This window comes from Homo sapiens, chromosome 20 (assembly GCF_000001405.40).
Source record: "Homo sapiens chromosome 20, GRCh38.p14 Primary Assembly".
NCBI lineage: Eukaryota > Metazoa > Chordata > Mammalia > Primates > Hominidae > Homo > Homo sapiens.
The window spans coordinates 21,412,510-21,436,368 of record NC_000020.11 but is presented as its reverse complement, the minus strand read 5'-3'; the positions used below and the strand labels follow the sequence as shown (position 1 = coordinate 21,436,368).

Here is a 23,859-nt window from a genome sequence, read left to right as displayed (position 1 = left end):
GACAGGCATTATTGTTAGAGGAGTATAAGGTGGTTGTATGTCCACATGGTTGAGTCATTTAAAATCTGTCTCAACATAAAAGTCAGGGCCATCCAGCTGCCTCAGTGTAGATGCGGTCAACACCCACATCATGATCATTTGAAGTTCCTGACACAAATGTTTTTATTTTTAATAATGGTTGGTTGGTTGTCTCTTGCCATTAGCAACTACATAAACATGGACGTAAACTAGCACTTTGGGGAGCGAACTCTCTGATATACCAGTGCTCCCACCCTTCAGCACTTGAAGGAGCCTAAGGATATGTCAATGTAACTGCTCAGTGACTGGAGATTATAAGGAGTCTAACTCTGGTTTTAGACATTTGACTGCTATCTGCTTTTGAGCCTCACCCTCCCTCTGCCACTCTGCCCCATAACTGGGTAAGCTGATAAGAAAGTCTGGGGGCTCCCTCCTTTGGCACTGGGGGAAGATTCCAACCATGCAAACCACTGCCTGCATAAAGGAATCCTCTCTCCAGCCCCAGCCACAACCCCAATAAAAGCCCTAGCCAGGCTTCTCGTTTCCTGCCCTCTCAAGCCATTTGAGACTCACTTGGGATGCCTGCTCTGCTCTCTCCGGAGACCACAATTATGTACATAATTAACCTTTTCACACTCTTGGTGTGTGTGTGCGTGTGTGTGTGTGTGTGTCATCATCAGTCTCAACATCTGAAACAAATTTTGAAAGGGTGTCCATTGTGTTTCTCAGAGTGGCTACAATAGTAATTAACATATTGCTTAGCCAGGACTCTTTCCCTTTATACAGAAAAATCTAGCCTGACTTGTTAGTGGCTTACAGATGATAAAGTTGGTATAGATTTGACTAAGGCTGGAAATAAAAGGTTTGCTCAACTTAATAACAATAACAAGAGAATCACAGGTTCTACCTCTCATTTACTAATGATACACTTGAGGAAATTGTGTAAACCTCTGTGTAGACACACCAATGTCATCAAACTGGGCTCTAGGTTCTACCTAGTTTCTGCGATGTTCATAAGATTCCAGACCTGCCAAAAGGTGACTTCAGATTACCCTTCTACCATTCACATGGGAAGTCATTCTACCATTATCATCCTCATAACAAGACAGATCTTCCACATGTAAAAGATTTTTAAAAATCATTGGAACAATAAAGACATTTAAATATTTTTATAATATTTGATCAGGAAAAGAATAAAAAACCAAAAGCCACAAAGGAAACTCCAACAGATTTAGTTGCATAAAAATTTTAAGGTCCATGTATTAAAAGACATTGAATCAAAATTAAAAAACAAACACCAAACTGGGGGAAATATCTGTAATGTATACACAAAACAAAGAGTTAATATTTTTACCGTATAAAGAACTCTTACAAAGCAACACAGAAAAGATGAACACCACAGTAGAAAAAAGATACGAACAGACAATTCACAGAAAAAATCCAAATGACTATTAAGTATATTAAATGATGCTCAGTCCCATGAATGATTACAGAAATGCAAACTGAAACAATAAAATACCATGTTTCCACTGGTATGGGTATGGTTTTAGATGAAAAAGAAGGCTAAAGTTCATTGCTAGCAAGTGTGTGGGGGAAAAGGTGACCCTTATATACAGCTGGTGAGAGCATAAATGGTGCTACTTTTCTTTTCTTTTGAGATGAAGTCTCGCTCTGTTGCCCAGGCTGGAGTGCAGTGGTGCCATCTCGGCTCACTCCAAGCTCCGCGTCCCGGGTTCACGCCATTCTCCTGCCTCAGCCTCCTGAGTAGCTGGGACTACAGGCGCCCGCCACCATGCCCAGCTTATTTTTTGTATTTTTTTTAGTAGAGACGGGGTTTCACCGTATTAGACAGGATGGTCTCAATCTCCTGACCTCATGATCCGCCCGCCTCAGCCTCCCAAAGTGCTGGGATTACAGGTGTGAGCCACCGCACCCAGCCAAATGGTGCTACTTTTCTAAAGGGTAGAGTGTATCAAAATGAAAGTTCTATCAATTCCACGTCTAAGAAAATCATTGTTCAGGTGTACAAAGCTGTATATACACTGACGTCCATGGGACCGTTGTTCACAACATCTGAAAATTGTAGCAACAGGAACAACAGTCAATAAGGACCTGGTGAAGTAAACCATGCTAGAATTATACGATGGAATTTCATGCAGCTGAGAACATGAAAAATGCCATCAATATAGGAGTACATAAACAGAGAAGACTACAGTATGTAGTATCACCCCATGTATGTAAAAAAGGGAAATGTATGAAGGAGTCTAAAAGACTACATACCACATTTTTAAATGGCTGCCTCCGGCAGTTGTGTCTTGGGAAACAGGGCAAGGGCAGGCATGACTAAATGCCCTGGAATCATTTGCACAGGTGTCCCCCTATAAGACTGAGATCTGGAAAGCCAGACGGAGTGATGGAGACTGCAGGTGAAAGCAGCCTCTCCTCTGACCCCAGCTGGCTTCTGCTTGAAGGGAAAGGAAGAGAACTAAGGGGAGAGATGTTATCCAATTACAGGAGTCCCTATAAATAAGGTACCATAAGCACAATGAGGGTGGGTGGCTTAATGGGAGGCTTAGAATACATTTCATTTAGCGCCACTCAGCTAGTTATTCCTGGCTGTAATGCCCTCAAGAAAAGGGAGCTAAGAAGGTCTGTTATAACACTGGGGTAGAGTGGGGAGGAGGAGTGTTGCAAAGTGCTGAGGAACTCTGTAAACCCCCAAGCCTGGCATAATGAGTTGTGCTCTGACATCGGCAAAGGGGTGATAAGGAGGACTACTCACTTTATCAGGGAGAGAGGGAAATGACATCAAGAAAAGAGCAATAACTTGCCTTTTGTGAGTCATCCAAGAGTGTTGGGACAGAGTAACTTCAGAGTCACACTCCACAAGCAGTCAATCAGAAGACAGGCCCAGGGCTTTAGCAAACAGGTAACACCACAGTGTAGTGAAGACAACCTGGTGCAACCCTCAGAAGGTGCAGAAATGTTCCTATCTGTAAGCCCAGCTCCAGCTTTTTGGAATCTGGTGCTGAGCCATGTGCATGGTACAAAGTGGGAAGGAGCTTCAGTCTGTGAAGAGTGCCAGGGCAGAGATGAAAGTTTCCAAAGCCGAAGAAAGCCGCCGAATGGTACTTTGAGAATGACAGCTACTGGTGAATAGAACAGATGAGATCAGGGTTCTCAGGATGGATCAAGGTGAAAAACTTCCCCTCTCATTCCTCTCCCCCAACAGCCATGGCTATGCCCAGGAGTGACTAATTCAGAATTCCAGATCCTGGAGATAAAGGGAGGAGCACAGTTTTTAGTGGTTGGTGCTCTATCTCTACTCCCGACACCACCACTGCCAATAGAGACAAAATCTACCTACAACTAAGTATGGACTTGGAAAGAAAGAGTATCTTAGATTTAAATCATCTGGTGGACTACAGCTCTTGTCAAAGGAACCAAGGAAGTCTTGCTTTGGATGTAGGCAAGGAAAAAGTCAGGGTACCCCCAATCTTGATGCGCAATTCAAACTCAGGGCAGGCAAGATGAAGTTAGACAAAAACAAAGACACTTTTACTAGGAGGTCAGAGAAAGAACCATCTCTGCTTTCTCAGTAATGTTTTATTCTTGAATATTTTAAATATTCAAACGGATTTTCTGGAAGCCAGAAAGTAATTATAGGACCAGAGACAACCCATGACAAGGATGGCATAAATGGTTTCATTGTGACATCTGAAATATTTTCACATGACAGGCTTAAACATGTTAACATTTTCATTTCATTATACTGGCAACATAATTAGTTTCAGGATATAAGTACTGAAGGTGTTGATCCAAATGTAATCTCTGTATTTTAGCTCTGAGATATAAATGTCAATGAGTTACAGTTGTCTGAGGCATTTAAAAAAGTCAAAAATATAGGGAGAAATAGCTTTGCTTTGTACTTTTTTGGCATGTCACAGCTCAAGTAAGTGGTGAAATAGTGATGACAGTAAGTGTGAGGTCTTAACCACACTAATCAATTTAAAACTTGTGAGGTTTATAGATATACCCATCAATGAAATAAAAGAGAGAGTTCAGAAATTTTTGGTGTACACATATGTCAATTGATTTTCAGCAAAGACAAAAAGGCAGTTCAACAAATGGCGCCCAAATAATTGGACATTCATTTGCAAAAGAAGGAAGGAGAGAAAAAAGAAACTAGGTCAACACTTCTTCACACTTTTCACAAAAATCGACTCAAAATGGGTCACAGACCTAAGAATAAAATCTAAAACTTTAAAACACTTAGAAAAAGAGTGAATTTGAGGGGTTAATGAAAATATTCTTTATTTTGACTATGGTGGTGGTTACATGACCCTACGCAGTTCAACATTTATTGAACTGAATATTTTTCAAAGGTGAATTTTAATGTATACAAATTATACATTAATTTAAAATTTTTCAATGGCCAGGTACAGTGGCTCACACCTGTAATCCCAACACTTTGGGAGGCCAAGGTAGGTGGATCACTTGAGGTTAGGAGCTCAAGACCAGCCTGGCCAACATGGTGAAACTCCATCTCTACTAAAAATACAAAAATTAGATGGGTGTGGTGGCACACGCCTGTAATCCCAGCTACTTGGGAGGCAGGAGAATTGCTTGAACCTAGGAGGCAGAAGTTGCAGCAAGCCGAGATAATGCCACTGCACTACAGCCTAGGCAACAGAGTGAGACTCCATCTCAAAAATAAATAAAATAAAATAAAATATTTCAAAATTGTAACTGTTAAAAAAAGGGATCAATTTATATAAAACCAATCAACTCTGCCACTAGCCATCAAATGTGACCTGGGCAAAACTTAAGTTTCAGGGCTCAGTTCTTCAATTAATATACTGAAGTTAATATAAGTAGTATCTGGAACATAGAAATATATTCACAAATGTATCTTGGATTGATTAGAATAAGGAAAACACTGAATTATACACAATTTAGAAAATATGAATTACATAAAATTCAGAAATATTATTACCTCAAAATGCTATTTCTTAGCCCTTGAAAACAACTTTTAAAAGAGTTGGTGGCCGGGTGCAGTGGCTCACGCCTGTAATCCCAGCACTTTGGGAGGCTGAGGCAGGCGGCTCACTTGAGGTCAGGAGTTCAAGACCAGCCTGGCCAACATGGTGAAACCCGTCTCTACTAAAAATACAAAAATTAGCCAGTGTGGTGATGGGCACCTGTAATCCCAGCTACTCAGGAGGCTGAGGCAGGAGAATCGCTTGAACCCAGGGGGCAGAGGTTGCAGTGAGACAAGATCGTGCCACTGCACTCCAGCCTGGCCAATAAGAGCAAAACTCCATCTCAAAAAAAAAAAAAAAAAAAAAAAAAAGAGTTGGTGTTTTTTTTTTTAACCTTTGGGAACATAAATATTTCTTCAAAATAAAACAGTAAGATGTAAAACAACCAATCAAGGTTTTTCCCTCTTTCATCATTAACAATAAAGCTTCTAGTGCAAAAAGCAATACAAAGTTGCCATACCATGCCCAAGCTCTCTATTTTCAAAAAGCTTGCTACACACAGCAGTTTCCCAGCAATGTAGATAAATTCTAGGACACCTTAGGCCTATCTCTTCCCTGCACGAAACCTCCTGCAGAAGGAGAAAGTTGGCTTCTTGGGAAGCTGTGTACAGGCGTATTCTCTCTCCTTGCCTGATAGGCACACCTGTGAGCAATGTCCCTCCAGCCCTGCTACGCAGAAATGTATGCTTGGTGGCTGAGGTCTCTGAGGTCTTGTTGGGAGCATAGCTATGGGCTAGGCTGGTCGCATGTGTATAATCTGCTGTGGAGAAGCTCCAAGCCTAACCTCACCTGCAAACCTGAAATGCAGCTCAGGACACCACATCAGCTTCCTCAAAGGCCATCACCATTATAAATGGGTAAGTGGATTTAAACTATATTTAGACAAAAATTTGGACGAGAAGTAGCCTTTTTCTCCTTTGGGAAATTTAAAAGACACCTTGCAATCTGGAGAGACAGATGAATCCAGAGAGTTACAGCCATCACCTGCTGATGTGGAACAGAAGTGCTAGAGTCTTAATCTGAAAGGAACACTTAATTGGTGAGTGATGAATTGCTGGAGGTTAAAGGTGGACTAGTGTGACAGTGAGAAACTCTTGGAGAATGCAGCCTTGCCAAGGGAGTGTGGCGGGGGCGTGACATACTTTCATGGGTTTTACCTCCAGGAACCCCACCAGGTTCTTGCAGTAAAAAGTCAGGAAAGAGCCCCTCTAAGGCTCTGTCAGGGGAATGGAAAAGTGACCTTTGTGAAATACACCCAGAGCATTCCCCTACAAATGCCTGCTCTCAAGGGAGAAGCACTTTACCAGAGACTTGCCCCATCTGGGGGAAGAACAATTCTCCAACTCCAATCCCAGCTAGACTTCCCGACTCGCCAAAGGGTGCAGGAGGCAAGAAACACTTATGAAGATCACAGCCAGGAACACAGACCCATGAAAAGACTGAGATTTCATCATTAGAATGAGAATTCCATATTCATAAACATGACTTATAAGCAAGATCATTTAATTCTATAATCATAAAATCATAAAATTAGAGAACTTTTAATCTTAACCATAAATTTAAGATTTCTATATTGTCCTAAGATTACAGAACTCCCCTACATGTTACCACTAGACCAACAGGGCACCAGTATGATGGCTGTCCAGTGGATTATAACTGAAAGAGCTGTACGATTCAGACTACATTTAAGAAAGAAGATCCAAAACAACAGGCAAGCACACTACAGAAATCTGAAGCCTCTGGCACCTACAGCTATAGAAAACATGAAATACAGCCCAACTGCTAGCTAGATTAACATAAAAACCTCCCTTCAAGGCCTATTTACCTCAGTTCCTATTACTAGATACATAGTATTTGTCTTTCGACAAGAAAATTACAAAGCATGTTAAAGACAAGAAAAGGCTGGGTGCGGTGGCTCACGCCTATAATCTGGGCACTTTGGGAGGCCAAGATGGGTGGATCACCTGAGGTCAGGAGTTTGAGACCAGCCTCTCCAATATGGTGAAACCCTGTCTCTACTAAAAAATACAAAAAATTAGCCGGGCATGGTGGCAGGCATCTGTAATCTCAGCTACTCAGGAGGCTGAGGCAGGAGAGTCACTTGAACCCGGGAGGTGGAGGTAGATGCAGTGAGCCGAAATTGTGCCATCGTACTCCAGCCTGGACAACAAGAGTGAACCTCTGTCTCAAAAAAAAAAAAAAAAAAAAAAAAAAGGCAAGAAAAAGTCTAGTCTGAAGAGGCAAAGCAAATATAAGAACAAGATTTAGATATGGCACAGATTTGGGGACTATCAGACAGGGAATTTTAAATAATTATGATTACATTAAGGGCTTTAATGGGAAACAACAGACAACATACAAAACATATGGGTATTGAAAGCAGAAAGATGGAAACTAAGAAAGAATCAAAAGAAAATGCTATAAATCAAAACCACTCAGTGGGTTTGAAGAGATATTAATAGAAACTTCCCAAACTGAAATACAAGGAGAAAAAATAATGAAAAAACAAACAAAAAAAAAAAACACAGAGCATCCAAGAACTGTGGGACAAATTCAAAAGGCATAATATACACCAAGGGAACGTTAGCGGGAGAGAACCAAGCAGAAGGTAATAATGACCATTTCAAAATTAATGATAGGCCAGGCACAGTGGCTCATGCCTGTAATCCCAGCACTATGGAAAGCTGAAGCAGGCAGATCACCTGAGGTCAGGAGTTCGAGACCAGCCTGGACAACATGGTGAAACCCTGTCTCTAGAAAAATACAAAAATTAGCCGGGCATGGTGGTGGGCACCTGTAATCCCAGCTACTCAGGAGGCTGAGGCAGGAGAATCGCTTTAACCCAGGAGGCAGTGGTTGCAGTGAACTGAGATCATGCCACTGCACTCCAGCCTGGGCAATAGAATGAGACTTTGTCTCAAAAAAAAAAAATTAATGATGGACACCAAAATAAAGATTCGGTAAGCTCAGAGAACACCAGCAGGATAAATATTTAAAAATGACACCTAGGCATATCATATTCAAACTGCAGAAAACCAAAGACAGAGAAAATCTTAAAAGAAACAGTGGGGAGGGGAGACACCTCACTATAGAGGAACAAGTACAAAAATTATAGTGAACTGTTTATCAGAAACCATGAAAACAAGAAGAGATTAGAGTCAAATAGTTAAATGATCAACACCGTGGTAAGTGCTATGAGGAAGAGATAACATTATCTATAGCCAAAGAGTTAATTAACTGGGAAAAGGAGGTTAACATGTAAAAAATAGATAATTTACCAATCACAGCCACGTTTAAAAAGTGAAAATGCCTCCCTTTAATCCCATCTATTCCTATTCCCTAGGGGTAGCTCCTTGTAACTGTTTGGTGTAATTCCTTCCAAATAATTTTCTAAGATGATAAAACTATAAAAGTATATATTTAAGATATACAATGCTTTCTTCCCTCCTCCTCCAAAATGGGATCACATTGCATAATTTTACAACTTACCTTTTTTTGTCAACAAAATATCAGAGATATTTTTATGGCTGTGGATGCACCTGAATCCAGCCTGCCCTCACTGTTTTCAGTGACTATATAGCTTTTTCCTATTGATGAAAATTCAAATTATTGATAATACTACAAATTACCTACTACTACAAATTAACTACTATCTGGACAGTTTTTATGTATATCTTTGTCCAAGTATTTTTTCAGGATACTTTCCTAGAAATGGATTTGATATATCAAAGGGAAGTATATTTAATATTTTTAGACCAAAAAAGCTATATCACTTTAGGCTCTTAACAACCTTGTGACCTTGTGATCCTATATTCTCCAACTCTGAATATAATGTACATCTTTCTGGAGAAAAAGAATGGCTTCTCATGGCTATTTTATGTGCCAGTACCTAATTCCACTAGGGAACAAGCATCTTTTCAGGTGGTTATTAGCCATTTGTGTTATTATTATTTTTTGTAAATTGTCCATTCTCTATTGGCTTGAAGACACTTTTTTAAAAATGTTAAGAGATGGAGGTCTCACTATGTTGCCCAGGCTGGTCTTGAACCCCGTGGCTAAAGCAGTCCCCTCACCTCAGCCTCCTGACTAGCTGTGACTATAGGCATGTGCCATTACATCCAGTTTTTGAAGTCACTTTTATAGTAGAAATATTAATCCTTCGTATATATGTTGCACACATTTTCCCCAGTCATATATCTTTTAATCTTGCTTATGACATATTTTCCTTCACAGAAATTTTGAATTTCTATAAAATCAAATCTGTAATGTTTTCCAGTAACAAGCCCATACCCTTCATTCTACATGTGTGGAAACTGTCAAGTCTCATGCCCAATCATATATTCCAAGCTAGTACTAGAGCTGGCATCAGGATCCAGGTCTTTCCACATAATGTCTTCCAACAATGATGAAACAACAACAAAAAAGATAAATGAAATCATTTAATAGGAACTCTTAAGTTGGAGTAGCACATCAGTGGAGAGGGAGAGCAGAAGGGCTGGCCTAGCTGGGAGAGTCTTTATGGAAGAGAGAAAAATTTAAACTGAACCTTGATATATGGATAGTATGTGGATTGTTGGGAAGAGGACATGAAAAAGGCAGAGAGGCAGAGTGTGGTGGCATATCTATGGGGTAAAGAGAAGAACAGCCTGACTAGATCACAAGATGTAACCTGGAAGGAGGATGACTAGGAAATAGGTATCCACAGACAGAGATTACTAGAACCATAAGAATACTGAATTTTCTGCATATAAAGCCGGGGAATGAAATCCCTCTGTAAAATATTGGCTATTCACTTCCCTTAACCCATGAGATTGCTATGATGGTAAAGTCTCCAGAATGTCGAAGAGAAGTGGCAAAGCCAATCGCACTCATCCTCTCCCTGCTGGACATTCAGAAAAAGTAGAGAGAGGGAAGGATAGTAGCAGCAACCAGTCTGAAATTTACCAATCAAAAGCTTGAGATCTATTGCTAATCAGGATATGAAGGGCTCAGTTTTGAAATCAGTCATTATAAGGAGCAAAAATAGGAAGCGGAATCAATATAGGAATCATAGAATGAGCATGAAGCAGGCCCAGATACTAAAGAAGTTTTCCAGAAAGCAAAGATGATCCTCAAAGGAATAAATCTTTCTACAGGTCCAGATCCACTGATAAACTAATGTTACTTCTCAGCTATCTCCTTTGACATACTAGTAGCCAACCCTGGAGCCCACTGCTACCAGCACTGGTGACCCCACCCATCCCAGCGGTGAGGCTGCCTCATGTCTGTGTGCAATCCACAGGGGCCCAAGAACTGGCCCACCTGGGGCCTGCCACCTGGGACCAGCCTTCCTGGGATCCACTGACTCCACATCAGCAAATCTGCCCCCTCTAGCAGAGGGGATGCTGCCCACCCACATGTGCCCCTCAGGGGCCCAAAACCCAGCCTATTTAATGTCCTTGTCCTCAGCAAACAAACAATCACAGCTTCCACAAACAATCACAGCCTAAGCCACTGAGAAACTTGTGGATATTGCTGACGTTGATTACAGCTGAAGAAATCATATGGAGACTACACTACTGCACTCAACCAGAACCAAAGCCAGAGTATCATATCCAACCAACACTATAGCTACATCTACAGAAAAAGGTCTTTCCCTGTGAAAGCTACTCCATAAAATTGGAAGAAGTGACTGCACGTACATCAACACAGGGACAAAAGAAACATGATAAAGCAAAACACGACATTACCAAAGGAACACAATAATTTTCCAAAACAGACCCCAAAGAAAAGGAAATATATGAAATACCTTTTAAAAATTCAAAATAATGCCTGGCCAAGATGGTGAAACCCCGTCTGTACTAAAAATACAAAAATTAGCTGGGCATAGTGGCAGGCTCCTGTAATCCCAGCTACTCGGGAGGCTGAGGCAGGACAATCACTTGAACCCAGATGGCAGAGGTTACAGTGAGCCAAGATCATGCCACTGTACTCCAGCCTGGGCAATAGAGCGAGACTCTATCTCAAAAAAAGAAATCAAAATAATAATCTTAAGGAAACTCAGGAAGATAGAAGAGAACACAGACACTACAAGGAAAGCAGGAAGATGATTCATGATCTAAGCGAGAAATTCAGCAGAGATAGAAATCATTAAACAAAAAAACAAACAAATCTTAGAACTGAAAAATTCAATGAATGAAATAAAAATACAATTGAGAGCTTCAACAACAGACTAGATCAAACAGAAGAAAGAAAAACAACCAAAAACAAAACAGAAGAGAATGAGGAGGACGTGAGGGTGATCTGGCAGTGACATCTGTCACCCCACTAATCGCCAGGGCTGATTTGGCTAATCTGTCTGGCTAAGCAGGTGTCCTCTTCCTCCCTCACAACTCCATGTGTGTCCCCCCTTCGTGCTTGGTTGAAGAGGATGAAGTTCCCCAACAGAGGAGGACCATTCTTTAGCCAAGGGTATACAAGTAGCTGTGCTCCCCTACTAGAACCTCCAAACAAGCTCTCAAGGATGAAAAAAGCCTATGTAACACATGGGACACCATTAAGTAAACAAATAATCCAGAAAGAGACAGGAAAGAGCATAGAAAACCTATTTAATGAAAGAGGCCAGGTGCAGTGGCTCACACCTGTAATCTCAGCAATTTGGGAGGCTGAGGCAGGAGGATCGCATGAGCCCAGGAGTTCAAGACAAGCCTGAGCGACATAAGGAGACCACATGATATGGTTTGGCTCTGTGTCCACACCCAAATCTCATGTTGAATTGTGATCCCAAGTGTTGGAGATGGAGCCTGGTGGGATGTGATTGGATCATGGGGGATGGATTTCCCCCTTGCTGTTCTTATGATAGTGAGTTCTCACAAGATCTGGTTGCTTAAAAGTGTGTAGCACTTCCCCCTTCACTCTCTCTCTCTTCTGCTCCACCATGTGAAGATTATGCCTGCTTCCCCTTCACCTTGCAACAAGATTGTAAGTTTCCTGAGGCCTCCCCAGCCATGCCTCCTCTACAGCCTGTGGAACTGTGAGTCAATTAAACCTTTCTTCTCCATAAATTACCCAGCCTCAGATATGTCTTTATAGCAGTGTGAGAATGAATTAATACAGAAAGTTGGTACCAGAGAAGTAGGGGCATTGCTATAAAGATACTTGAAAATGTGGAAGCGACTTTGGAACTGGATTATGAGCAGAGATTGGAACAGTTTGGTGGGATCAGAAGAAGAAAGGAAGATGGAGGAAGGTCTGGAACTTCCTAGAGACTTGTTGAATGGCTGTGACCAATAGGCCGATAGTGATATGGACAGTGAAGTCCAGGCTGAGGTGGTCTCAGATGGAGATGAGGAACTTATTGGGAACTGGAGTAAAGGTCACTCTTGCTATGCTTTAGCAAACAGACTGGTGGCATTGTGCCCCTGCTCTAGAGATCTGTGGAACTTTGAACTTGAGAGAGATTATTTAGGGTATCTGGCAGAAGAAATTTCTAAGCAACAAAGCATTCAAGATGTGGCCTGGCTGCTTCTAAAAGCCTGCACTCATTTGCATAAACAAAGAAATAACCTGAAACTAGAAGTTATATTTAAAAAGGAAGCACAGCATAGAAGTTTGGAAAATTTGCAGTCTGACCATGCAGTAGAAAAGAAAAAACCATTTTCTGGGGAGGAATTCAAGGCTGCAGAAATTTGCCTAAATAAAGAAGAGCCAAGGCAATGGGAAAAATGCCTCCAGGGCATTTCAAAGACCTTCACAGCAGCCCCTCCCATCACAGGCCTGGAGGTCTAGAAGGGAAAAATAGTTCTGTGGGCCAGGCCCAGGGCCCTGCTGCTCTGTACAGCCTTAAGACATGGCACCCTGTGTCCCAGCCACTGTAGCTCCAGCCGTGGCTAAAAGGGACCACAGTACAGCTCGGGCCATGCCTTCAGAGGGTGCACAACCCAAGCCTTGGTGGCTTCCAAGTGGTGTTGGGCCTGCAGCTGAGCAGAAGACAAGAGCTGAGGTATAGGAGACTCTGCCCAGATTTCAGAGGATGTATGGAAATGCCTGGATGTCCAGGCAGAAATCAGCTGCAGAGGTGGACCCCTCAAGGAGAACCTCTACTAGAGGAATGCAGAGGGGAAATGTGGGGTTGGAGCCTCCACACAGAGTCCCCACTGGGACACTCCCTAGTGGAGCTGTGAGAAGAGGTTCACCATCTTCCAAAGCCCAGAATGGCAGATCCACTGACAGCTTGCACCATGTGCATGGAAAAGCCACATGTACTCAGCACCAGCCTGTGAAAGCAGCTGTGGGGGCTGTACCCTGCAGAGCAATAGGGGCAGAGCTGCCTAAAGCCTTAGGAACCTAACCCTTGCATCAGTGTGCCCTAGATGTGAGACATGGAGTCAAAGGAGATTATTTTGGAGCTTTAGGATTTAATGACTACTCTGCTGGGTTTCAGACTTGGATGGGGCCTGTAACCCCTTCGTTTTGGCCAATTTCTCCCTTTTGGAATGGAAGAATTTACCCAATACCTGTACCCCCACTGTATCTTGGAACTAACTAATTTGTTTTTTATTTTATAGGCTCATAGGCAGATGGGACTTGCTTTGTCTCAGGTAAGACTTTGGACTTGGACTTTTGAGTTAATGCTAAAATGAGCTGAGACTTTGGGGGACCGTTGGAAAGGCACAATTGTGTTTTGAAATGTGAGAAGGACATTTGAGGTTTGGGAGGAGCCAGGGGGAAATGAGAGGTTTGGGAGGGGCCAGGGGCAGAATGATAGGGTTTGGCTCCGTGTCCCCACCCAAATCTCATGTTGAATTGCTTTGGAAGTGGAGTCAAGCATTGGAGGTGGGGCCTGGTGGGAGGTGACTGGATCATGGGGATGAATTTCCCCCTTGCTGTTCTCATGATAGTGAGTGAGTTCTCATAGATCTGGTTTATTTAAAAGTGTGTAGCACTTCCCCCTTCATTCTCTGTCTCTCCTGCTCTGCCATGTAAAGACTGTGCCTGTCTCCCCTTCACCTTCTGCCATGATTGTAAGTTTTCTGAGGCCTCCTCAATCATGCCGTCTGTACAACCTGTGGAACTGTGAGTCAATTAAACCTCTTTTCTTCATAAATTATCCGGTCTCAGGTATGTTTTTATACCAGTGTGAGAATGGACTAATATACCCCTACTCCATTAAAAATATTTTAAAAATTAGCCAGGCATGGGGGCCTACATCTGTAGTCCCAGCTACTCCGAAGGTTGAGCCTGGGAGCTCAAGGCTTTAGTGAGTTGTAAACACACACTGTACTTCAGCAACAGAGAGGGAGAAAGAGAAGAAAAGAGAAAGGGAAAGGAAAAGAAGGGAAAGGGAGAGGAGAAGAGCGGAAGGAAGGGGAGAGGAAAGGAAGAAAGAGTAGGGGAAGGGGAGGAGAGGGGAAGGGAAGGGGAGGTGAGGGAAGGGGAGGGGAGAGAGGGGGAGGGGGAGGGGGAAGGGGAAAGGAATGGGGAGGGGGAGGAAAGAAAAGGAAAGAGAAAAGAAAACCTATTTAATAAAAGAATACCTAAAAACTTCCCAAATATTAGAAGCGATATAGACATCCAGATACAAAAAACTAAAATATCTCCAAATAGGGTCAGCCCCCAAAAATCCTCTTTGAAGCACATTATAATTAAAACTGTCAAAAGTCTAAGTTGGGGTTCAGGTGTAGTGACTCATGTCTGTGATCCCAGTGCTTTGGGAGACTGAGGCAGGAGGATCACTTGAGGCCAGGAGTTCAAGGATAGCCTAGACAACATAGTGACATCCTGTCTCTACAAAAAATAAAAATAAAAATTAGGCCAGATGTGGTGGCTAATGCCTCTAATCCAGGCACTTTGGGAGGCCAAGGGATTACTTGAGGCCAGGTTTGAAACCAGCCTGCCAAACATAGTGAAACCCCGTCTCTACTAAAAAAATACAAAAAAGTAGCTGAGAGTGGTGGTGCATGCCTGTAATCCCAGCTACTTGGGAGGTTGAGGAACGAGAATTGCTTGAACCCAGAAGGCAGAGGTTGCAGTGCACTGACATCATGCCACTGCACTCCAGCCTGAGCAACAGAGTGAGAGACTTTGTCGAGGAAGGAAGGGAGGGAGGGAGGGAGGGAAGAAAATTAACCAGGGTGTGTTGGCATGTGCCTATAGTCCTCACTACTCAAGAGGCTGAGGTGGGATGGTCCCTTGAGCCCAGGCGTTCAAAGCTGCAGTGAGCTATGATTATGCCACTGCACTCTAGTCTGTGAGACAGAATGAGACCCTGTCTCTAAAAAGTAAAAAATGAAAGTCAAGATAAAGAAAGAGAATTCTAAAAACAGTAAGAGAAAAGCACCAAGTCACATATAAGGGAATCTCCAACAGACCAACAGCAGATTTCTCAGCAGAAATCTCACAGGCCAGGAGAGAATGAGATAATCTATTCAATGTGCTGAAAGAAAAAAACCTGCTAGTCAAGAATACTACACCCAGCAAAGATATCCTTCATAAATGAAGGAAAAATAAAGTATTTTCCAGACAAGCAAAAACTGAGGGAATTCATCATCACTATACTGGCCCTACAAGAAATAATTAAGTGGGTCTTACATCTAGAAGTGAAAGGAAGATATCTACTGTCATGAAAACACACAAAAGTATAACAGTCACTGGTAGTACAGATACACAAATGAGAAAGAGAAAGGAATCAAATGTTATCACTACAGAAAGCCACCAAACTGCAAAGATAAACTGCAAAGGTAAACAATAAGATGGCTCATGCCTGTAAACTCAGCACTTTGGGAGGCCAGTGCAGGAGAATCACTTGAGCCCAGGAGTTGGAGATCAGCCTGGGTAACATAGTGAGACCTCATTTCCACACATACATACACACACATACACATACACACGCACACACACACACACACACAAATTAGCTGGGTGTGGTGGCATGTGTCTATGGTCCTAGCTACTCAGGAGGCTGTGGTAGGAGGATTGTTTGAGCCCAGGAGGTTGAGGCTGCAATGAGCCATGACTGTGTCACCGCACTCCAGCCTGGGCAATAGAGCAAGGCCCTGTCTCCAAAACAGTAATAATAATAAATAGCAATCAGAGAAGAAGAAAGGAACAAAGGATATCCAAAATTACGAGAGTAAGTCCTCATCTATCAATAACAACCATTTAAATCCCACAATTAAAAGATACAGACTGACTGAAAGAATAAAAAATAAGACCCAACTATATGCTGCCTACAAGTAACTCACTTGACCTGTAAAAATGCAGAAAGACAAAGTGAAAGAAATAAAAAAAGATATTCCATGCAAATAGAAGCCAAAAGCATGCAGGAATAGCTTTATTTATATAAGACAAAATAGATTCTAAGTCAAACATAAAAAGAGACAAGATAATTATATAATGATAAAGAGATGAATTCAGCAAGAGGATATAACAATTTTAATATGTATGCACCCAATACCAGAGCACCCAGATATATAAAGCAAATATTATTGAGTTAAAGTGAGAGGCCCAAAAACAATGAAGTTAGGGGACTTCAGTGTCCCACTCTAAGCACTGGACAAATAATCTAGACAGAAAATCAACAAAGAAACACTGGACTTAAACTACCCTATGGAGTCAATGGACCTAACAGGCATTTACCAAAAATTTCATCTAGTAGCTGCAGAATATATATTCTTCTTTTTTTTTGTAATTTTTTTATTATACTTTAAGTGCTGGGATACATGTGCAGAACATGCAGTTTTGTTACATAGGTATACATGTGCCATGGTAGTTTTCTGCACCCATCAACTCGTCATCTACATTAGATATTTCTCTGAATCATATCCCTTCTCTTACTGCCACCCTCCAACAGTCCCTGGTGTGTGATGTTCCCCTCCCTGTGTCCATGTGTTCTCATTGTTCAATTCCCACTTATGAGTGAGAATATGCAGTGTTTTGTTTTCTGTTCCTGTGTTAGTTTGTTGAGAATGATGGTTTCCAGCTTCATCCATGTCCCTGCAAAGGACATGAACTCATTCTTTTTTATGGCTGCATAGTATTCCACGGTGTATATGTGCCACATTTTCTTTTTTGTTCCCATCCAATTTTTTTTTATTGTGGTAAAATATACATAACATAAAATTGACATTTAATCATTTTAAGTATACAGTTCTATGGCATTAACTACATTCACATTGCTGGGTAACCATCACCACCATCCATCTCCAGAACTTTTTCATCTTTTTATTTTATTTCATTTTTTATTATTATACTTTAAGTTCTAGGGTACATGTGCACAACGTGCAGGTTTGTTACATATGTATACATGTGCCATGTTGGTTTGCTGCACCCATTAGCTCGTCATTTACATTAGGTATTTCTCCTAATTGCTATCCCTCCCCCACCCTCCCACCCCACGACAGGTCCTGGTGTGTGATGTTCCCCGTCCTGTGTCCAAGTGTTCTCATTGTTCAATTCCCACCTATGAGTGAGAACATGTGGTGTTTGGTTTTCTGTCCTTGCGATAGTTTGCTCAGAATGATGGTTTCCAGCTTCATCCATGTCCCTACAAAGGACATGAACTCATCCTTTTTTATGGCTGCACAGTATTCCATGGTGTGTATGTGCCACATTTTCTTAATCCAGTCTATCATTGATGGACATTTGGGTTGGTAGATGTGTGGTGTTATTTCTAAGGCCTCTGTTCTGTTCCATTGGTCTATATATCTGTTTTGGTACCAGTACCATGCTGCTTTGGTTACTGTATCCTTGTAGTAGAGTTTGAAGTCAGGTATCATGATGCCTCCAGCTTTGTTCTTTTTGCTTAGGATTGCCTTGGCTATATGGGTTCTTTTCTGGTTCCATATGAAATTTAAAGTAGTTTTTTCTAATTCTGCAAAGAAAGCCAATTGCAGCTTAATGGCAATAGCATTAAATCTAAAAATTACTTTGGGTAGTATGGTCATTTTCACGATATTGATTCTTCCTATCCATGAGCATGGAATGTTTTTCCATTTGTTTGTGTCCTCTCTTATTTCCTTGAGCAGTGGTTTGTAGTTCTCCTTGAAGAGGTCCTTCACATCCCTTGTAAGTTGCATTCCTAGGTATTTTATTCTCTTTGTAGCAATTGTGAATGGGAGTTCACTCATGATTTGGCTATTACTGCTGTATAAGAATGCTTGTGATTTTTGCACATTGATTTTGTATCCTGTGACTTTGCTGAAGTTGCTTATCAGCTTTAGGAGTTTTGGGGCTGAGATGATGGGGTTTTCTAAATATACAGTCATGTCATCTGCAAACAGAGACAATTTGACTTCCTCTTTTCCTATCTGAATACCCTTTATTTCTTTCTCTTGCCTGACTGCCTTGGCCGGAACTTCCAATACTATGTTGAATAGGAGTGGTGAGAAAGGGCATCCTTGTCTTGTGTGGGTTTTCAAAGGGAATGTATCCAAGTTTTTCCCATTCAGTACAATATTGGCTGTGGGTTTGTCATAAATAGCTCTTATTATTTTGAGATACGTCCCATCAATACCTAGTTTACTGAGTATTTTTAGCATGAAGGGGTGTTGAATTTTATCAAAGGGCTTTTCTGCATCTATTGAGATAATCATGTGGTTTTTGTCATTGGTTTTGTTTATGTGATGGATTACGTTTATTGATTTGCATATGTTGAACCAGCCTTGCATCCCAGGGATGAAGCTGACTTGATCGTGGTGGATAAGCTTTTTGATGTGCTGCTGGATTTGGTTTGCCAGTATTTTATTGAGGATTTTTGCATCAGTGTTCATCATGGGATATTGGCCTGAAATTTTCTCTTTTTGTTGTGTCTCTGCCAGGTTTTGGTATCAGGATAATGCTGGCCTCATAAAATGAGTTAGGGAGGAGTCCTTTTGTTTTTCTATTGTTTGGAATAGTTTCAGAAGGAATGGTACCAGCTTCTCCTTGTACCTCTGGTAGAATTCGGCTGTTAACCTCTCTAGCCCTGGGCTTTTTTGGGTTGGTATGCTATTAATTACTGCCTCAATTTCAGAACTTGTTATTGGTCTATTCAGGGATTTGACTTTTTCCTGGTTTAGTCTTGGGAGGGTATTTATGTCCAGGAACTTATTTCTTCTAGATTTTCTAATTTATTTGTGTAGAGGTGTTTATAGTATTCTCCGATGGTAGTTTGTATTTCTGTGGGATCAGTGGTGATATCCCTTTATCATTTCTTATTGTGTCTATTTGATTCTTCTTTCTTTTCTTCTTTATTAGTCTGGCTAGCAGTCTATTTTGTGAATCTTTTCAAAAAACCAGCTCCTGGATTGATTTTTCTAAGGGTTTTTTGTGTCTTTATTTCCTTCAGTTCTGCTCTGAACTTAGTTATTTCTTGTCGTCTACTAGCTTTTGAATTTGTTTCCTCTTGCTTCTCTAGTTCTTTTAATTGTGATGTTAGGGTGTCAATTTTAGATCTTCCCCACTTTCTCCTGTGGGCATTTAGTGCTATAAATTTCCCCCTAAACACTGCTTTAGCTGTGTCCCAGAGATTCTGGTACATTGTGTCTTTGTTCTCATTGGTTTCAAAGAACTTATTTATTTCTGCCTTAATTTTGTTATTTACCCAGTAGTTATTCAGGAGCAGGTTGTTCAGTTTCCATGTAGCTGTGTGGTATTGAGTGAGTTTCTTAATCCTGAGTTCTGATTTGATTGCAGTGTGGTCTGAGAGACTGTTTGTTATGATTTCTGTTCTTTTGCATATGCTGTGGAGTGTTTTACTTCCAATTATGTGGTCAATTTTAGAATAAGTGCTATGTGGTGCTGAGAAGAATGTATATTCTGTTGATTCGGTGTGGAGAGTTCTGTAGATGTCTGTTAGGTCCACTTGGTCCACAGCTGAGTTCAAGTCCTGAATAACCTTGTTAATTTTCTGTCTCATTGATCTGTCTAATATTGACAGTTGGGTGTAAAGTCTCCCACTACTATTGTGTGGGAGTTTAAGTCTCTTTGCAGGTCTCTAAGAACTTGCTTTATGAATCTGGGTGCTCCTGTATTGGGTGTAAATATTTTTAGGATAGTCAGCTCTTCTTGTTGCATTGGTCCTTTTGGTCCTTTTACCATTATGTAATGCCCTTCTTTGTCTTTTTTGATCTTTGTTGGTTTAAAGCCTGTTTTATCAGAGACTAGGATTGCAACCCTGCTTTTTTTTTTTTTTTTTTTTTTTTGCTTTCCATTTGTTTGGTAAATATTCCTCCATCCCTTTATTTTGAGCCTATGTGTGTCTTTGCATGTGAGATGGATCTCCTGAATACAGCACACCAATGGGTCTTGACTCTATCCAATTTGCCAGTCTGTGTCTTTTAACTGGGGCATTTAGTCCATTTACATTTAAGGTTAATATTGTTGTTTGTGAATTTGATCCTGTCATTATGATGCTAGCTGGTTATTTTGCACATTCATTGATGCAGTTTCTTCAAAGTGTCGATGGTCTTTACATTTTGGTATGCCTTTGCAGTGGCTGGTACCAGTTTTTCCTTTCCACATTTAGTGCTTCCTTCAGGAGTTCTTGTAAGGCAGGTCTGGTGGTGACAAAATCCCTCAGCATTTGCTTGTCTGTAAAGGATTTTATTCCTCCTTTGCTTACAAAGCTTAGTTTGGCTGGATATGAAATTGCGGGTAGAAAATTCTTTTCTTTAAGAATGTTGAATACTGGTCCTCACTCTCTTCTGGCTTGTAGGGTTTCTGTTAGCCTGATGGGTTTCCCTTTGTGTGTAACCTGACCTTTCTCTCTGGCTGCCCTTACCATCTTTTCCTTCATTTCAACCTTGGTGAATCTGATGATTATGTATCTTGGGGTTGCTCTTCTTGAGGAGTATCTTTGTGGTGTTCTCTGTATTTCCTGAATTTGAATGTTGGCCTGTCTTGCTAGGTTAGGGAAGTTCTCCTGGGTAATATCCGGAAGTGTGTTTTCCAACTTGGTTCCATTCTCCCTGTCACTTTCAGGTACACCAATCCAACGTAGGTTTGGTCTTTTCACATAGTCCCATATTTCTTGGAGGCTTTGTTCATTCCTCTTCATTCTTTTTTCTCTAATCTTGTCTTCACACTTGATTTCATTAAGTTGATCTTCAATCTCTGATATCCTTTCTTCCACTTGATCAATTTGGCTATTGATACTTGCGTATACTTCATGAAGTTCTCTTGCTGTGTTTTTCAGCTCCATCAGGTCATTTATGTTCTTCTCTAAACTGGCTATTATAGTTAGCAGTTCCTGTAACCTTTTATCAAGGTTCTTAGCTTCCTTGCATTGGGTTAGAACATGCTCCTTTAGCTCAGAGGAGTTTATTACCCATCTTCTGATGCCTACTTCTGTCAATTTGTCAAACTTATTCTCTGTCCAGTTTTGTTCCCTTGCTGGCAAGGAGTTGTGAACCTTTGGAGGAGAAGCAGCATTCTGGTTTTTGGAATCTTCAGCATTTTTGCACTGGTTTTTCCTCATCTTCATGGATTTATCTACCTTTGATCTTTGATGCTGGTGACCTTCCGATGGGGTTTTTTCGTGGGCATCCTTTTTGTTGTTGTTGATGTTACTGCTTTCTGTTTGTTAGTTTTCCTTCTAACAGTCAGGCCCCTCTTCTGCAGGTCTGCTGGAGTTTGCTGGAGGTCCACTCCAGACCCTGTTTGCCTGTGTATCACCAGCGGAGGCTGCAGAACAGCAAAGATTGCTGACAGCTCCTTCCTCTGGAAGCTTCGTCCCAGAAGGGTGCCCGCCAGATGCCAGCCGAAGCTCTCCTGTATGAGGTGTCTGTCGACCCCTGCTGGGAGGTGTCTTCCAGTCAGGAGGCATGGGGATCAGGGACCCACTTAAGGAGGCAGTCTGTCCCTTAGCAGAGCTTGAGTGCTGTGCTGGGAGATCTGCTGCTCTCTTCAGAGCCAGCAGGCAGGAACGTTTAAGTCTGCTGAAGCTGCACACATAGCCACCCCTTCCCCCAGGTGCTCTGTCCCAGGGAGAGGGGGGTTTTATCTATACGCCCCTGACTGGGGCTGCTGCCTTTCTTTCAGAGATGCCCTGCCCAGAGAGGAGGAATCTAGAGAGGCAGTCTGGCTACAGCAGCTTTGCTGGGCTGTGGTGGGTTCCACCCAGTTCAAACTTCCTGATGGCTTTGTTTACACTGTGAAGGGAAAACCACCTACTCAAGCCTCAGTAGTGGCAGACACCCTTCCCCCCACCAAGCTTCAGTGTCCCAGGTCGACTTCAGACTGCTGTGCTGGCAGCGAGAATTTCAAGCCAGTGGATCTTAGCTTGCTGGGCTCTGTGGGGGTGGGATCCACTGAGCAAGATCACTTGGCTCACTAGCTTCAGCCCCCTTTCCAGGGGAGTAAATGGTTCTGTCTCACTAGCATTCCAGGTGCCACTGTAAATGAAAAAAAAAAAAAAAAACCTGCAGCTAGCTTGGTGTCTGCCCAAATGGTGCCCAGTTTTGTGCTTGAAACCCAGGGCCCTGGTGGTGTAGGAACCTGAGGGAATCTTCTGGTCTGCGGGTTGTGAAGACACCAGGGGAAAAGTGTAGTATCTGGGCTGGATGGCACTGTCCCTCATAGCACAGTCCCTCACGGCTTCCCTTGGCTAGGGGAGGGAGTTCCCTGACCCCTTGTGCTTCCTAGGTGAGGTGACACCCCACCCTGCTTCGGCTCGCCCTCTGTGGGCTGCACCCACTGTCTAACCAGTCCCAATGAGATGAGCAGCTACCTCCATTGGAAATGCAGAAATCACCTGCCTTCTGCATTGGTCTTGCTGGGAGCTGCAGACGGGAGCTTTTCCTATTTGGCCATTTTGCCAGCCACAGAATACACATTCTTCCTATCAGCACATGGAACATCCTCCAGGATAGACCACATATTAGGCCACAAAAAAACAAGTCTCAACAAATTTTCAAAAACTGAAATCATATCAAATATCTTCTCAGACCACAATGGAATAAAACTAGAAATCAATAGCAAGGAGAACTTTAGAAACTTTACACAGAAATTAATATTCTCTTGAATGGCCAATGAGTCTGTGAAGAAACTAAGAAGGAAATCAAAAAATTTCTTGAAACAAATGAAAACAGAAACACAACATACCAAAACCTATGGGATACAGCAAAAGCAGTGCTAAGAGAAAAGTTTATAGCAATAAACATCTACATCAAAAAAGTAGAAATATTCCAAATAAACAACCTAATGATGTACCTTAAGAAGGTAGAAAAGCAAGGGAAAACCAAAGTCAAAATTAATAAAAACAAAAACGTAATAAAGATCAAGCAGCAGCCTGGGCAACATAGTAAGAACTCATCTCTACAAAATTTCAAAATAAGAATAAATTAACCAGGCATAGTGGCACATATCTGTGGTCCTATGATCCCAAGCTACTCAGGAGGCTAAGGTGGGAGGATCACTTGAGTCTAGGAGGTCAAGTCTACACTGAGCCATGATTGTGCCACTGCATTGCAGCCCAGATGACAGAACAAGACCCTGTCTAAAAAAAAGGAGGGAGGACAAAAAAGATCAATGAAACAAAAGAAAATCTATAAACCATTAGCTAGACCATGAAAAAAAGAGACACAACCCAAATAAAGAAAATCAGAAGCAAAAAAAAAGATACATTACAACTGATACCACAGAAACAGAAAGATCATTAAAGACTATTAATAAACAACTATACTCCAAAAACTGTAAAACCTAGAGGAAACAGATAAATTCATGTATACATATAACCTACCAAGAAATAGAAAGCCTAAACAGACTAACAAAGACAAACCCACCGCCAGATGGCTTTACTGTTGAATTCTACCAAATGTGCAAAGAAGAACTAAAACCAATT

The 23,859-nt window shown here is 41.6% G+C and overlaps 1 long non-coding RNA gene and 1 pseudogene across 1 annotated transcript in view, besides 1 other annotated feature; one reads left to right on the top strand and one right to left on the bottom strand.

Moving 5' to 3' along the window:
• The window catches only part of LOC105372558 (uncharacterized), a 44,594-nt gene that overhangs the window by 5,088 nt on the left and 15,647 nt on the right, over window positions 1-23,859 (bottom strand). The window lies entirely within an intron of this gene.
• Window positions 2,684-2,978: an enhancer, noted in NCBI's record as "tiled region #14823; K562 Activating non-DNase unmatched - State 24:Quies". NCBI's record gives its function as "activates a minimal TATA promoter and a strong SV40 promoter by Sharpr-MPRA in K562 cells {active_cell/tissue: K562}" and the evidence as "EXISTENCE:reporter gene assay evidence [ECO:0000049][PMID:27701403]".
• Window positions 11,328-11,611, top strand: RN7SKP140 (RN7SK pseudogene 140; annotated as a pseudogene).